The sequence below is a fragment of the Homo sapiens genome, chromosome 5 (assembly GCF_000001405.40).
Source record: "Homo sapiens chromosome 5, GRCh38.p14 Primary Assembly".
Lineage (NCBI taxonomy): Eukaryota > Metazoa > Chordata > Mammalia > Primates > Hominidae > Homo > Homo sapiens.
Genome location: NC_000005.10, coordinates 83,497,551 through 83,513,711, shown reverse-complemented (window position 1 = coordinate 83,513,711; position 16,161 = coordinate 83,497,551). Strand labels below are relative to the sequence as shown.

Genomic DNA, 16,161 nt, shown 5'->3' with positions numbered 1-16,161 from the left:
TTTATGCTATTGTTGTTTTCCTGAAAATGATTAAGGAAGAATTCTGTTGTTTCAGGGCCTGAGAACAAAAGCCAGCATTTTCTACAGTCTTTATGGAGCGACCAGCTTGTGGCAAGCTAATACAGAACACATGGCTTTAACACTCAGAAAGTTGAGTCTAAGGGAGGAGATCAGAGCAGAGGCTTCTTAGCTAGGAGATAAAAGTGTGAAAACAAACCTTTTGGTTGCATTAACATCCATTCTACTGACTACCTAGAACATCACAGTCTGTGTATTTTTGGTTGCTTAAAAATGCCTGTGTATTTCACTCTAGAAATCAATTATATAATAAGCTAGTACATTTTGTACTCGTTTTAGAGACATATTGCTATAACAAGATACATTGGAAATTTAGTCAAAGTTGTTTACAAATTTGTTTCAACATAACCTAACTCTGTCTTGGATATTACCCAAGGTCACCAAAATTCTGGGAGATCTTTGTTTAGCTAGCATAGTATAGATGGTTCAGTAAATATTCCAATGAGATGCTAGATTACTTGCTTGTTTAATTTGCATTCTACAACTATGATACTATATCATGTGACTACTACTGCTAAAATTACTTGAGGACATCTGGAAAATTAAAATAATTATATCATGAATGTTGAGAAATGTTATTTAAAAAAAAATGTTAATTAGTAAACCTAACTAAAGATACTCTGTTATAGGTTGCAAAGAACACATATTGTACGTCAATATGATACTACAGAATTAATGATTAGAAGGCATGTATTTCCATTACTTGACATAAATGGAGATTTTTATTGATAGTATGGTTCATTTTTAGTTATGACTTGAACATTTTGAGTATCCATGTCAGCTTCAAATACTCACCTGTAATTACTGAAATTTAAATTCTTTGCCATCTCAAAGAAACAGAGTGATACCGAAGACAAAATCAACAATCTTAAGGATTTAACTCAGCCTCAGTTGGCCTTGGCATTGTAACACCAATAAACAAATTGCAAAACTTAAGGACTGCAATTAATATAAAATACTTAGAAAAATGCTCTGTGGCTCTGGACACAACAGAGCACAGTTACAGCTTAACCTGATATTTCCTCACCCCTCTAAAAATCCATTTGCCAAAATTCCTGTGGTTTTAACCATATCACTGCTGTTCAGTTTGCTTGCTTTTGAAAATCACTGAACTGTTTCCATTCCGTGCACACACTGCAAGACATGGAATCCACTCCAACGGCTAGTTGAACATCAATGCATGCTTCGAAGCATTTTTTTTAAAACTGTAATTTTTAAAAAGGTATCAAACACTTACGTTTAAAGCAGTAGGCATCAAATCTGCTATCAGGGGGAGGGAAGCCTGTCTGGTTCTCAAAACGATACAGGGTTCTCACCCCAAGTAGACCACCTCCACACTGGGCCCTGGCCACAGTCACAGGGTGGCGCACGCTGGCATCCGACAGCCACCCGTAATCGCACTGGTCAAAGCCGTTCCTCCATGCCGCCTGGAGTTCCCCCACTGTTGCCAGCCTGGCATCCTGGTTTTCACACTCTTTTGCAGCCTCCTCGAAGGTGAATTTACTGGGGACAGTGAGGTGGAACACATCACCTGGAAAAAAAAGAAGGGAAAAAAAGCCCAAAGTTTTATTATTCATTCCTTTCCTGTTGGATAAATATGGTGGGGAAGGAATTGGAGGAGCATGTAATACTTTTTCATGGCAAGGTAGCAGCTTCTGATACTTTAAAGCAGAAAAGATAATGGTGACTTAGCTTCGTTATAATTATGAATACATAATCATAAATAACACATACCCGAGAAGTTTTATTCTATACGTGTATGTGTGTGTGTACATTGGCCATAGAATCAGTCATTTAATAACATTTTATAATACATTCTTTAAAATGAACAAATCCTTCTGAGTGATTCTTTAGATTACTATCCAGGTTTTTGTTTTTTTAAGGAAAAAGTCTGCTATGTGCTTCCTAACATTGCATATTGGAAGGGAAACCTTGCATTGAACTGCCACCACGGTTATTCCACTTTGTTTATCCTAAAATCAAATAGTAATTCTCTGGCCTTCCTTCTCATTTATAACTACCGACAAAGTGGATTAACGCCATTAAATAAAAAAAAAAAAAAATAAGAAAACCTCCAGAAATGTGAAGATGGGAAGGGCTCAGAAGTGGTACAGAATTCTACTTCCTGCCTTCCCGTATCAGGCACAGGGCTGCCATGATGGTTACGAAGGTCGCGGCCTGCACAGGAGCACCAGGCCCAGTGTGTAGGGAAGGCCTAGGTCGCCTCCCACTCAGCCAGCCAAAGGAACTCCAGCCTCTTTGGATAAAGCCTTTGTTTTACTTGCTCTGTGCAGAGGGAGCACTTTTTGCTAATTCTTACAAAGACACCCCAAGTGCTAGTAGGGGCTTTAACTAGGTTCAAGAGACTTCTTTTTTTTTTAGGAGAATCGCTTGAACCCGGGAGGCAGAGGTTGCAGTGAGCTGAGATTGCACCACCACACTCCAGCCTGGGCGACACAGCGAGACTCCGTCTCGAAAAAAAAAAGAGAGAAAGACTCCCCCAACACCCCACTCACTCGGGCCCCAGATGGAGGCTCAGTAGCCCAGGCTGCAGTGCAGTGGCACGATCTGGGCTCACTGCAACCTACACCTCCCGGGTTCAAGCGATTCTCCTGCCTCAGCCTCCCAAGTAGCTGGGATTACAGGCACCTGCCACCACGCCCAGCTAATTTTTGTATTTTTAGTGGAGACGGGGTTTTGCCATGTTGGCCAGGCTGGCCTCAAACTCCTGACCTCGTGATCCACCCGCCTCGGCCTCCCAAAGTGGTGAGATTGGTTAAAGAGGTTTTTTAATTTGCTGATTGATTAACAAGAAAAGGCTGGACAGTTGCTTTGTTTATTACCAAGTCTAATTAGCAGAGGGTATATTCATTATCATTTAACATGTTACAATGAAAGATTCTGGAAACTTCAGAGTTTGTTAAGTTGGAATTTTACTTAGCTAACTAACATAACAGTTTGCTGAAATAAATTCCACACAAATTAAATTATGTTTTTCACATGTGAGCAAAAGTAACCAAAGACAGAAGCAGAATTATAGAATACCTAAGCCAATATCACAGTCAGGAGGAGAAATGAAAACTGAAACAGAAAGTTAAAATGTTGATAGCCCACTATTGTAGCTGAGAGTACTGTTTCCATCTCACTGAAGCTGATCTCTGATTCTATGATATATTAGACAACTGGGATCCAAAGAGCTGTCATGATTTGGATCTTCACCTGACTAAATCCAGATGTATCAAGCAATTGTTTAAAATGAATAGTGCTATTACTTTCTCTGAGTGGGTGATAGCACTATAAAACAAGAAAAATTAGTCATGGGGAAAATGGCCAAAGCACACATATCGGCTTTTCTCACTATATATCTAAAATTGCTATTGAGGAAAGTAGGCCAAATTTCAATGAGAGCTATTTGAAGAAGGGAGAGAGAAATTACTTTCACCTGACTGAAAGAAGTGGTAGAGGTGTACATAGCTTTTTATTCTTAATTATCTAGTCTGGCAAAAGACAGTAATCTCAAATACAACAATACACTCTAAGAAAAAGTTCCCCTCCCGGCTCTCACAACGTCTCCCTTCCTAATAAATTTTAAAAGCATAAGGGTCACAGGGCCAGTTACATAGTATGTATTCAATAAGATTTGTTAAATGAATGGCACTTCAAGTTCTTATTAAGAAGCTAGGTCTCTTTTTTCCCCCTATCCTTCCCAACAGCACATTAAATAAAGCTAACTCTGCTACAAAGCTTTGGAGAGATGGCTGCTGCCTGAAACAGGCATTTTATCTCACAATAGACTTGGCTCAAAGCAACATGGAGAAAGGCAGACAGAGAAATTACGTCATCCTGAACAGCCTCCTTCACCTCAGAATAACACTTGCCTGAGGCCTGAAAGGGCTGCAAGTGTAAAGAAGGCAGCGTGCCAACAGTTTTCCCTGAGAGGTAGAACCCTTGGACTTGTTATTACAGCTGGAATATTAGTTGTGTTGCCTTAGTTTCCTGCATTTCCTGAGATACTCCTACCTTAAGGCGAAACTACCATTCCTCTTAAGTAACAAGTGTTATCAGCCAACCACGGAAGGGCAAAGAAATATAATTAATTGAGTAAAACTCTGCTTCTCCAACTGCACTGTTAGTCTATCTATTGAGGAACATCAACTTCTCCAAGGAAGACCAGACCAAAGGGCTAATGAGGAAAAAATGGCAGCATGATTTCATGGGTAGCTGGTTTCCCTATTTTAAACAGCAAACATGTTTGCAGTATTAAAAGAAAGAAAGGCTTCAGTAGGTGCTGGCCTGTTACAAAGAGAATTCTCTTAGTAGTAGTTAATCAGTTCAGACCTACTTATAGAACTTTTCATGTAGAAACTCTTGTTAAATCTGACTTTATATCAGACTATCAATTATTTAACTCACTTGTTTGAAGTATACGATATTCATTTATTTGTTTGATACCCATAGAATGATCATTTTACTACTTTGATTAAATTCTGTTATCCCTAATGCCATTTCTTTCTTTCTTTCTTTCCTTCCTTCCTTCCTTCTTTCTTTCTCTTTCTTTCTTTCTTTCTTTTCTTTCTTTCTCTTTCTTTCTTTCTTTCTTTTCAAAAAAGATAGAGTCTTGCTAAATTGTCCAGGCAGGAGTGCAGTGGCTATTCACAGGCATGATCATAGCACACTCTGTCCTCAACTTCCTTGCCTCCAGCAATCCTCCTTGCCTCAGCTTCCTGAGTAGCTGGGACTACACGCAGGCACCACTGTGCCCAACTTATCCTTTTCAATTATGTGTAGAAATTTTTCAAACTTTCCAAATAAAATTTTTATAAAACATATTGCAAGAAACATTACCATTGGGTTTCTTGTAATTCAGATGAAAAAAAGGAAGATTTAACCAGAATCAATTGAGTTTACTTTAAGGTGAGGATTAAAAGAATTAATCTGTTAAGATAACGTGCAGTCAGTTATTTTATTCAGCAATAATTACTTTATTTCAGAATAATGAGAAAAGGAAAAAAGTGACTTAAATTCTGTTCTAAAAAATAACTATTTAAGCCTTCCTAAATCATAATTGTTTAGTGTGAACATTTCCTTGCTCACCTCAAAAACCTAATGATATAGTGAAGCATTTACACTATAGAATTGAGTATGTCTTTAATCTCTTATAACTAACACCCAATCTATACCAAACGTGATAAGTTAAATGTCCAAACTTCTGTCCTTTCCATGTATCAACCCTCTATTATTAAGGCAGGGACATCTGTACATAAATTTGTTTTGTGGAATATTTTGGAAAACACTGTTCTAAAGACCTATATTTTAATCAAGAAGAGGACTCTCAATTAACTTACAACACACATAACTTAGTACTAAGTTTCTGGTATGTGTCAACCTGTTTAAGATAGAAGCAAAGTGAGCAGACTGGGTACCCAGTCAGAATCAAAGCAGGAGATTACAAAGCAAAATATGTATGATGCCAATTGCCTCCCAGGATTATGTCAAAGGCTGCAAGTGAGCAAAAAGGGGAATGAGGCAGAGCAGGGAACCCTGATGAAGTGTCTAAGACAGCAATTTAAGCTGAACATGGAAAGAGCTCATTACTTAAAAAGAAGCTCATTTTGCACAAAGTAAACCAAGGTATGGCAGATAGCAACAGGCTTTCTCCAGAACAATAAATTCCAGGAATAAGTCTTTCAACCCCGTATCTCATTAAAAACATGCAGTTTTTAAGCTAAACATTGTCCATTTCTACACTGAGAAAAGCAATCAAGATGTTAACATTTTCAAAGTTTCTATTGATCCATTTTCAGTCTTTAAACCCATAGTCAGGAATTATTTATAAGTCAAATTATATGTTGTAAACTATAGCACAGTGGAATGAAATTGGATAGAAATGAAGTCTGGGCCAGTAATAGAATTGTAAATCCAGGCTTGGTCCAAAAATGAATGCTCATAGAAGGATGCCTCCAAAGATAACATCTAATGCCTAGAGGCAAAGCCAAATCAGGAATCCAAGGAACAGACAAAAGAGAAAGCCACTGATCACAGCAAACATGGGAAATCAAGCAAATCAAATAGGCACGTTTGCTTAGTTGCTCTCTCTCAACATGATTTAATTGGCCCAACTGTGTAAGCTCCTACCCAGAGGGTATCATAAAGCCACCTTTTTATCTCTGATGTGAATAATAAAAGTTCTTTCTGAGTTTTTAATCACAGTACAACCTTTAGAGTTAGACAGGGAATGCACAGCCTTCAGTGAGAGAAAATGACTATTTTAGTAGCATAGAACAAAGTTGTGTTCTATCTCTGCTCCTGGATACTTGTACCTGAACAATTTAATGTATTCTTAGATTTAACGGATAGTTGCTTTCCTGGAAAACAAGCATCTTTTTTGTAGTTTGACAAGAAGCCTGTTAATAAGTTCCAGGAGTAGCCTCATCAAAGCAGCTAAATTGATAGGACAATTATCAAAGTTGTAATTAGAGCACAGATTTGGAACATGTTTCTAAATGTTACCTATCCATGAGAAAATGTTTTATTTTTCTCTAATTGAAAACAGTAAATAAAATGTCAAGTGATATGATTTGGCTGTGTCCCCACCCAAATCTCAGCTTGAATTGTATCTCCCAAAATTCCCATGTGTTGTGGAAGGGACCCACGGGAAGGTACTTGAATAATGGGGGCCAGTCTTCCCCGTGCTATTCTCATGATAGTTAATAAGTCTCAAAAGATCTCATGGGTTTATCAGGGGCTTTCTGCTTTTGCTTCTTCCTCATTTTCTCTTGCCGCTGCCATGTAAGAAGTGCCTTTCACCTCTCGCCAAGATTCTGAGGCCTCCCCAACCATGTGGAAATATAAGTCCAATTAAACCTCTTTTTCTTCTCAGTCTCGGGTATGCCTTTATCAGCAGTGTGAAAATAAACTAATACAGTAAATTGGTACCAGTACAGTGGGGTGTTGCTGAAAAGATACCCGAAAATGTGGAAGCAATGTTGGAACTGGGTAACAGGCAGGGGTTAGAAGAGTTTGGAGGGCTCAGAAGAAGAGAGGAAAATGTGGGAAAGTTTGGAACTTCCTAGAGGCTTGTTGAATGGCTTTGCCCAAAATGCTGATGATATTGACAATAAGGTCCAGGCTGGGTTGGTCTCAGATGGAGATGAAGGACTTGGGGACTGGAAGAAAGGTGACTCTTGTTATGTTTTAGCAAAGAGACTGGTGGCATTTTGCCCCTGCCCTAGAGATTTGTGGAACTTTGAACTTGAGAAAGATGATTTACAGTATGTGGTGGAAGAAATTTCTAAGCACCAAAGCATTCAAGAGGTGACTTGGGTTCTGTTAAAGGCATTCAGTTTTATAAGGGAAGCAGAGCAAAAAAGTTTTGAAAAATTGCAGCCTGACTATGCAGTAGAAAAGGAAAACCCATTTTCTGCGGGGGAATTCAAGCCGGCTGCAGAAATTTGCATAAGTAGCAAGGAGCCTAACGTTAATCCCCAAGACCGTGGATAAAATGTCTTCAGGCCATGTCAGAGACCTTCACAGCAGCCACTCCCATCATAGGCCTGGAGGCCCAGGAGGAAAAAGTGGTTTCATGGGCCAGGCCCAGGGTCCCCGTGCTGTATGCAGCTTGGGGAATTGGTACCCTGTGCCCCAGCCACTCAAACCGTGGCTGAGTGGGGCCAGTGTACAGCTTGGGCTGTGGCTTCAGAGGGTGGAAGCCCCAAACCTTGGCAGCTTCCATGTGGTGTTGAGCCTGTGGGTGCACAGAAGTCAAGAACTGAGGTTGGGGAACCTCTGCCTAGATTTCATAAGATGTATGGAAATGCCTAGCTGCCCAGGCAGAAGTTTGCTGTAGGGGTGGGGCCCTCATGGAGAACCTCTGCTAGGGCAGTGCAGAAGGGAAATGTGGGGTTGGAGCCCCCAGACAGAGTCCCTACAGGGGCACTCCCTACTGGAGCTGTGAAAAGAGGGCCACCATCTTCCAGAACCCAGAATGGTAGATCCACTGACAGCTTGCACTGTGTGCCCGGGAAAGCTGCAGACACTCAATACTAGCCCATGAAAGCAGGCAGGAGGGAGGCTGTACCCTGCAAAGCCACAGGGGCTGAGCTGCCCGAGACCATAAGAACCTACCTCTTGCATCAGCGTGACCTGGGTGTGAGACCTGCAGTCAAAGGAGATCATTTTGGAGCTTTAAAATGTGGCTGCTCCACTGGATTTTGGACTTGCATGGGCCCTGTAACCCCTTTGTTTTTGGCCAAATTCTCCCATTTGGAATGGGTGTATTTACCCAATACCTGTATCCCCATTGTATCTAGGAAGTAACTAGTTTGCTTTTGATTTTTACAGGCTCCTAGGCGGAAGGGACTTGCCTTGTCTCAAATGAGACTTTGGACTGTGGACTTTTGGGTTAATGCTGAAATGAGTTAAGACTTTGGGGAACTGTTGGGAAGGCATGATTGGTTTTGAAATGTGAGGACATGAGATTTGGAGGGGCCAGGGGCAGAACAATATGGTTTGGCTGTGTCCCCACCCAAATCTCAACTTGAACTGTATCTCGCAGAATTCCCATGTGTTGTGGGAGGGACCCAGGGGGAGGTAATGGAATCATGGGGGTTGGTCTTCCCCATGCTATTCTCATAATAGTTAATAAGTCTCATGAGATCTAATGGGTTTATCAGGGGTTTCTGCTTTTGCTTCTTCCTCATTTTTTCTTGCTGCCACCATCTAAGTAGTCCCCTTCACCTCCCGCCACGATTCTGAGGCCTCCCCAGCCACGTGGAACTGTAAGTCCAATTAAACCTCTTTTTCTTCCCAGTCTTGGGTATGTCTTTATCAGCAGCATGAAAATGGACTAATACATCAGGAAATATACCAAATATATTTTATATAAACAAAGTGATGCATTACTTAAGATGTCAGGTTTACAGTAAGTTAAATTGTTATAATAAGAATTCATCAGGCTGGGCGCAGTGGCTCATGCCTGTAATCCTAGAACTTTGGGAGGACAAGGCAGGTGGATCATCTGAGGTCAGGAGTTTGAGACCAGACTGGCCAACATGGTGAAACCCCATGTTTACTAAAAATACAAAAATTAGCCAGGCATGGTGGTGCATGCCTGTAATCCCAGCTACTGGGGATCTGAGGCAGGAGGATCGCTTGAACCCAGGAGGCAGAGGTTGCAGTGAGCTGAGATCATGCCACTGAACTCCAGCCTGGGCAACAGAGAGACTCCGTCTCAAAAAAAAAAAAAAAAAATTCATCAAGGTATATACATATACATTCAGATTAGTGTACATGTAAAATATGATATACAACAGAGCCTTTCATGAATAGGATAATTTGCATATTCATATGGAAAACATATGCAGTATCTTAAGCCATAGTTTTCCAAAATTTCAAATTAAATACTTATAGCTTTGACATATTCCTGTTACTTCAACTTTCCAGGGATGCTCTAGAAGAAACGGGAGACATGTTGTAAGACTTTAATGACATTCCACAAACTAAATTTATTGTGGGAATTAACATCAGAAATTAAGGGAAAAAATACTCTAATTTGATCACTAGCTGCTACAAGACTCCCTAGAAAGTGGACCATGTATATTTTTTTCACAATTCTGTTTGCTAAGTGGAAAAGCTGCTTCTTGGCAGACTCAAACATGACACATACTGAAATGGCAAGCAATGATGAAAACAAATCAAAACATTAAAAATGACCCAAAGTGTTCAAAAGCTAGAGTTTATACTCAGGAGTCACTCAACAATATGATTAAAGAGCCTGAGTCTAGAGTAAAACTAGGATAGGATATTTCTCCCCCACTGACAATTCTTGCAATCACCAAGGTGAAAGGAGGACTTAATCACAGATAATTACACAATTCTTTCCTGACTGCAGCAGATGGGCTGCTCTCTGTGGCAGTCAAAGCTGAGATCTTACCAGTTTTGTAGCAGAGTATATTTGCTGGGTGATGTGATACATGATTATGTTTCTTCTGTTCATTAGTGCTTATAGCTCTACTATACTGCACTGTTTGGTCTGAAAATCAGTTCTTATAAACTAATTCATAATTTCCTTTGTCCATTTGGGAGCAGCACTCCCTGCTCTTTTGGTTTTTTGTTCTTGTTGTTGTTGTTATTTTACTACAAAAGTTCAACATTTGTAAATGTTTTCACATTACCTTGCTATCTGGGTCAAAATGGTGTATAAGTAATAAATGTATGCAAAAGTAAATGGGATGAGTAAGCTGGAAGTAGTTACATGAAATGAGCTTCTAAATACCCATACGATAAAATCACTAACAGAATATATCAAGTATCAAGGTGATAGCAACAATTCAACAAAATGATTAGCTTTGAAATGTTGGACTTTTAAGCTTTTTCAACACTTTCTTTTTCTTTTCTCTCTCTCTCTCTATCTCTCTCTCCATCGTTTTTTTGTTTTTCTGTATGGATATACATAAGATCAAAGCAGGAAAAACTAATGCTTATTATCCACTGAATCACAAAGTCCATCAGCTGCACATGGATTGGTTAACATAATATATACTGCTATATAATCTTTTAAGGGCTAATATTTGTAGATAATTTAAAAGCATGTCAATTTCCTCTAAGATTTGATTATTTAACCTGCACAAAGGCCAATCTTCAGTTATCAATGACAAGAAAACTCTAGGGCTGCCAAAATAACTTCATTTTAGACCCCAGAGTTAGTGTTAGGCTGGTAATGTTTCTAATTTGGGAATAATGAGACTAGAAAGCTAGGAGGGCCCCCTCCAAATTTCTCCCTTGTATTAGGCTGAAGTAGAACATAACGTGGCTTAAAGCATAAACTTAAAGCATATGCTTTGAGTTTTAAAAATGTTAACCTGTAATTAATTATTAGAGTATTATCCATAGTCTACTATGATAGTCAGTTAATATTCTCTAAATCAGATTATATTCATTTGAAAATGCATCTGCATATTTGCAAATGTGTTATTACACAAGATCTTACCTATGTCAATTTAAAGAGGTTAAAGATGCAGGAAGCCCCCACTAAAATGTAAACACATTTGTACGGTTTTCAGAATGTTTGGACTCATTCTTTCCCATTGACAGAGCAGTAGGTTTTAATTAGAGTGAGAAAGAGGTTCTAAAAATTTCTGGGTTTCTGAGTCTTCAAAATATACAAAAGATTGAATGTGTTATTTGGTTTGACAGGCACAGAATGACCTCAGGTCAACACAGGAGTATCAGCCTAGTTTGGGTTTTTTTGGCTTTTCACAGCTGGGAGGTAAATGGTGACTGTATTTCCAAAGAAGCTCTTTTGATTCAGAACTCCAGGAGACCCTGACATGAAAACCTTAAAGCAAATGACTGTCACATGCTTCAAGGAGTTTATGTCAAGACAGTTCTACTTATGTAAAGTAAGATTATAAAATGAAAGAGAGTGTATAAAGAAAATCCTAAGGAATCCACTAAAAAACAATTAGAACGAAGAGGCAAGTTCAGCAAGGTTGCAAGATACAAGACCTATATATAAAAATCAATTGCATTTCTGTACACTTGTAATAAACAATCAAAAAAATTAAGAAAATTACATTTGCATTTGCATCAAAAATAGTAAAATATTTACAAGTAAATTTAACAAAAGAACTGCAAAACTTATACTCTGAAAAGAACAAAATATTGTTGAATAAAATGAAAGAATATCTAAAAAATAGCAGAAAGACATCTCAGGTTCACAGATCAGAAGACATAATATTTCTAAGAGGGCAATATACCCCAAGTTGATCTAGAGATTCATTGCAATCTATATCAGAATCCTAGCTGGCTTCTTTGCAGAAATTGACAAGCCAATTTTAAAATTCATGTGGGAACTCAAGAAACCCAGAATACTAAAACAATTTTGAAAAAGAAGAACACAGTTGGAAGCCTCACACTTTCCATTTTCAAAATTTACTACAAAGCAATTGTAATAAAGACATTGTGGTACTGGCATAAAGATAGACATACAGATCAATGGAATATAATTGAGAGTCTAGAAATAAATGCATCTACCTATGGTCAATTGATTTTCAACAGGGTGCCAAGGTCATTAAATGGAGAAATAATTATCTTTTCAACAAATGGTGCTGGGACCACATCCAAAAGAATGAATTTGGACTCCAACCTCACACCATATACAAAAGCTAACTCCAAATGGATCAAAATAAAAGCAAAAGAGTTAAAACTTATAAATCTCTTAGACTAAAACACAGAGATAAATCTTCATGACTGGGGATTTGGCAATGTTTTCTTAGATATGACACCAAAAGCACAAAAATTTTAAAAATAGACAAATTGGACTTTTCATCTAAATTAAACACTTTTGTGCTTCAAAGGGCCTTATCAAGAAAGTAAAAAGACAACTCACTGAATGGGAGAAACTATTTGTAAATCATTTACATGAGAAGACATGCAAATCTAGAATATACAAAGAGCACTCAAAATTTAATAGTAAAGACAACACAATTATAAGTGGGCAAAGTTTCAGAGTAGACAGTTCTACCAAGAAGATTGATAAATAACTAGCAAGCACATAAAAAGATGTTGGAGCTCATTAGCCATCAGAGAAATGCAATTCAAAACCACAGAGATACTACTTTACACTCATTAAGATGGCTACACAAAAGGTCAGATAATAGCAAGTGTTGACAAGACTGTGGAGGAATCAGGACCCTAATACACTGCTGATGAGAATGTAAAATGGTACAGCCACATTGAAAAACAGCCTAGCATTTCCTCAAAAAGTTCAAAGTAGTTACCATTTGACCCAGCAATCCCAATCATTGTAATCCAATCTGTAATGCAATCATTGCTCAAATAAGAATTATGATTTTTTCTAATGAGATATCAGAGATTTGAGGGAGCTTTGAGGGTACTTTTTATCTTCTTGGCTTGCAAGACTGCCTGCTGCTCTACTGGGGAATCTTTAGTGGCCCTGTGAGTTTATGGCAGTAGAAGAAGAAAAAAGGCATATCTAATCACTTAACCTGTCTGTGCCTCAGTTTTCTTATAGGCAAAAGTGAGGTTTCTTTTAAAAAGTGCCTGACAAAGGTTTCATAAGATTTAAGTTAAATAATACTCCCACCACACAGTAGATGTTTTCCTTCCTCATTCTACTCATGAAACTACCTCACACTCAATCTTACTGGAGTCACTACACTGTATAAGGACATCATCTTCCAGAGGTGCTCCCACCATGCTGTGCCTGATTGCTTTCCTCATTGGCTCTTAGGTAGACTGTTCAAACACTGTACACAGAAGCAACTCCAAGCAAGGTGTGTTAATCTCCAAAGTCTATATAGGAAGCTACGGATAATTAAAAAGTTTTTAGCATCTTCTAGGGCCAACTGCAACAAATGTGAAGAGATTCTGAAATCAAGAATCACTACTTTAACCATCGGCGGAATCATAGTGTGCAAGAGGCTCTTCAAGCTGATATGTGGCTTTTTAACTGAATAAGCCCAGTAAGGACGCAAATCACTAATTCTTAAATAACCTTCATCAGTGAAGTATTCTGTAGATTACATACTGTAAATCTCATTAAAATTAATAGGCAATCTGAGAATCTATAGGAAAGAAATTACACAATCTCCAGATGCGATATCTGATTTTGGTCCAACCAAAACCTTTAAAAAGCTAGAACTAACCCTGCTCTAAGACCTACTTGATGATGTTTATCTAAATGTTTAGATTTTCATATCTAAAGGAGCTCATAAAGTAACAAAAATGGAAAAGTTGTTTTTGGTTCTAGGTGAGGCACAAGAATGATATGGAGGCATTAGATAAGTCACAGAGGTGACAAAGCCATCCTGGACTCTGACACCAAGAAACAGTAAAAATAATAACCTATAATTGATGAATAGGTATTAATACAAGAAAAGCAATCCCAGAGAGGACAATTTGCTGGGAAGGAGTGGAAGGCAAGGAAAATAATTTACCATGAGAGGCCAGAAAGGAGTATCTCTGGGAAGGAGTAATTTCTAAGAGACATCAAAGAAAAGAGTGAGAGGAGAAAAGAGTGAGAGGAGAAATACAAAGAGGAAAAAATAGTATCATGGTGATTAAATAATGGTAAAAAGTAGATCTTTTTGAATTTGGTAAATAAAGCAAAGCATTTTTTCAAGTGTTATAGATAAATGGAAAGGTGGTGGTGGAAGGCAGTTTCCAGAAGAGACAAAGGTTGGAAAAATACTATAATTACCACCAACTATTTATTGGATAACTATTACGTGTCTGCAATTGGAACAGGCTCTTGATTGCAGTTGGGAAACATATAGAAGTTTATGGTCTTATCTCTACTAGGAGCTTACAATAATTTTGCTGAAATAAAACAAACATATAACATTTTATATTTTATGAACACAAAGAAACCAGAAAACAATTAAGCAATAAATCACATGGAACTAACTCTAAGTAAAGTAGAAGTTCAGAGTCAAGAAATTTCAGTGTGAGCTGCAATAGCCAAAAGGGGGATCCTGGAAGCAGTAAGTCTTCAAGCACAGGCAAAATCACAATGTTGAAGAGATGAAGGGTGTGTGTTCCCTGAGAGGAACAGAGCAGACTTGCAAGCAGGAGCAAGCAAAGGGTCTGTGCAGGGCGAGATGCACGTGTGTGGGGTCACATTGAAGAGTGTGGGAATGAAGGGTGAATAGATTGCAGTAGAGCAGGTATAGGTTTTGAAGACCAGGCAGAGTATGTGCTTGTGGAAGAAGCCAACAAAACCAACACACAACGTTAAGTAGGAGAATTACATGGCAATGGTGTTTAACTGTTTTGATGGTAGTAAAACAGATCCCCTGAAGGACTCTTAAAGTGATGGGGACTATTTGTGACAACCAAAACCAAAAATGAAACTCAAAAGTGATTCACAAACTAGAAATATGGGTATGAAATTCAGAAAAGAATTCAGGAGCTAAACATGCAAAACTAGAAATTAACATCTTCATTGTTCACGTATTTGTTCTTTTGGTATTCTTTCATGCCCCATATGTCCCACAAGACTTTTGGCTTACAAGTTATGTACAAGAGAACAAAAATGAAATTAAACAAACTAATAAGAAAATTAAAGCAATAAAAAAATCAGGAAGCAGATAGTATACTGATGGATCCTGGAGAAGTGTGAAACTATCCAGAAAGCAATTGTAAATCAAGGTGAGTAGGGAGGCATTAATGGTTTAGAAGTTAATTCATTAATTCACTCATTTATTCAGCTCTACCTATGGAGCACCTACTATATGCTAAGGACATATTGGGCATACAAAAATGAATTTGTATGTTTCCTTCTTTCCCCCAATCCATAGTTTAGTAGGAGAGAAAGAAGTATAAGCAAATATTTGCAAGAGGGTAATTATAGTCATACATTCAAGGTTCAGAGATGGTAAAGATGAGAAGAATCACCTAGGTCTTCAGGAGGGAATATGAGATGAAAGAGAGTGCCCACAGTATAGGCCTGTCAAAGTGCTGGAAGCTTGTGTAAAAAAACAGAGAATTGGAATAGTAGGGTAGTAGTTAACCCAGGTGAAGTAAATACCAAAAGGCAGGGCTACATAGAAAATGCAGGCCATAAGAGGATAGGCCTATGTCACAGGGGAGAGAAGCTCCTGAACCAACCATTTGTCAGGTCTGGGGACAAGACTGGAAGTATTGACTCATTTGCAAGGAAACTAAGTGGGTCAACAATGAAAGAAGGTAATAGGACCTCATCTGCAATCCTCCAATTTATCTGCAGGATAAATTAAATGCCTAAAAAAGAAACTTATTTTTTAAAGTATCTGCTACCATCAGGAAACCAAATAAATAGTCAGTCTATTAATTTCGTTCTTAAATAATTCCGATCCTTTACCTAATTTCTTGAGCCATTTAATCATCTCAACTCTACCTTAAAACCCTCCCAATGTTTTCCAAATCTGTCTTACTGGGAAACAAAGATTAAAATTCCTAATAAGGATTATTTTGTGGATCTTAATTTCTAGATTCCCATTTTAAAATTTTAATTCCATTAATTTCTTAATAATAGCATTCTATTACTGATTGAATCATCTCTAATAAGCCATCATAATTTCC

General features: G+C 38.2%; 1 protein-coding gene across 4 annotated transcripts in view; it reads right to left on the bottom strand.

Annotated features, from left to right (window-relative positions):
* The window catches only part of VCAN (versican), a 110,559-nt gene that overhangs the window by 68,591 nt on the left and 25,807 nt on the right, over positions 1-16,161 (bottom strand). For all 4 annotated transcript variants that reach the window (NM_004385.5, NM_001164098.2, NM_001164097.2 and 1 more), the window contains exon 6: positions 1,316-1,609. In NM_004385.5, coding sequence (NP_004376.2) covers positions 1,316-1,609 — 294 coding nt within the window. The remainder of the gene's footprint in view (positions 1-1,315; positions 1,610-16,161) is intronic.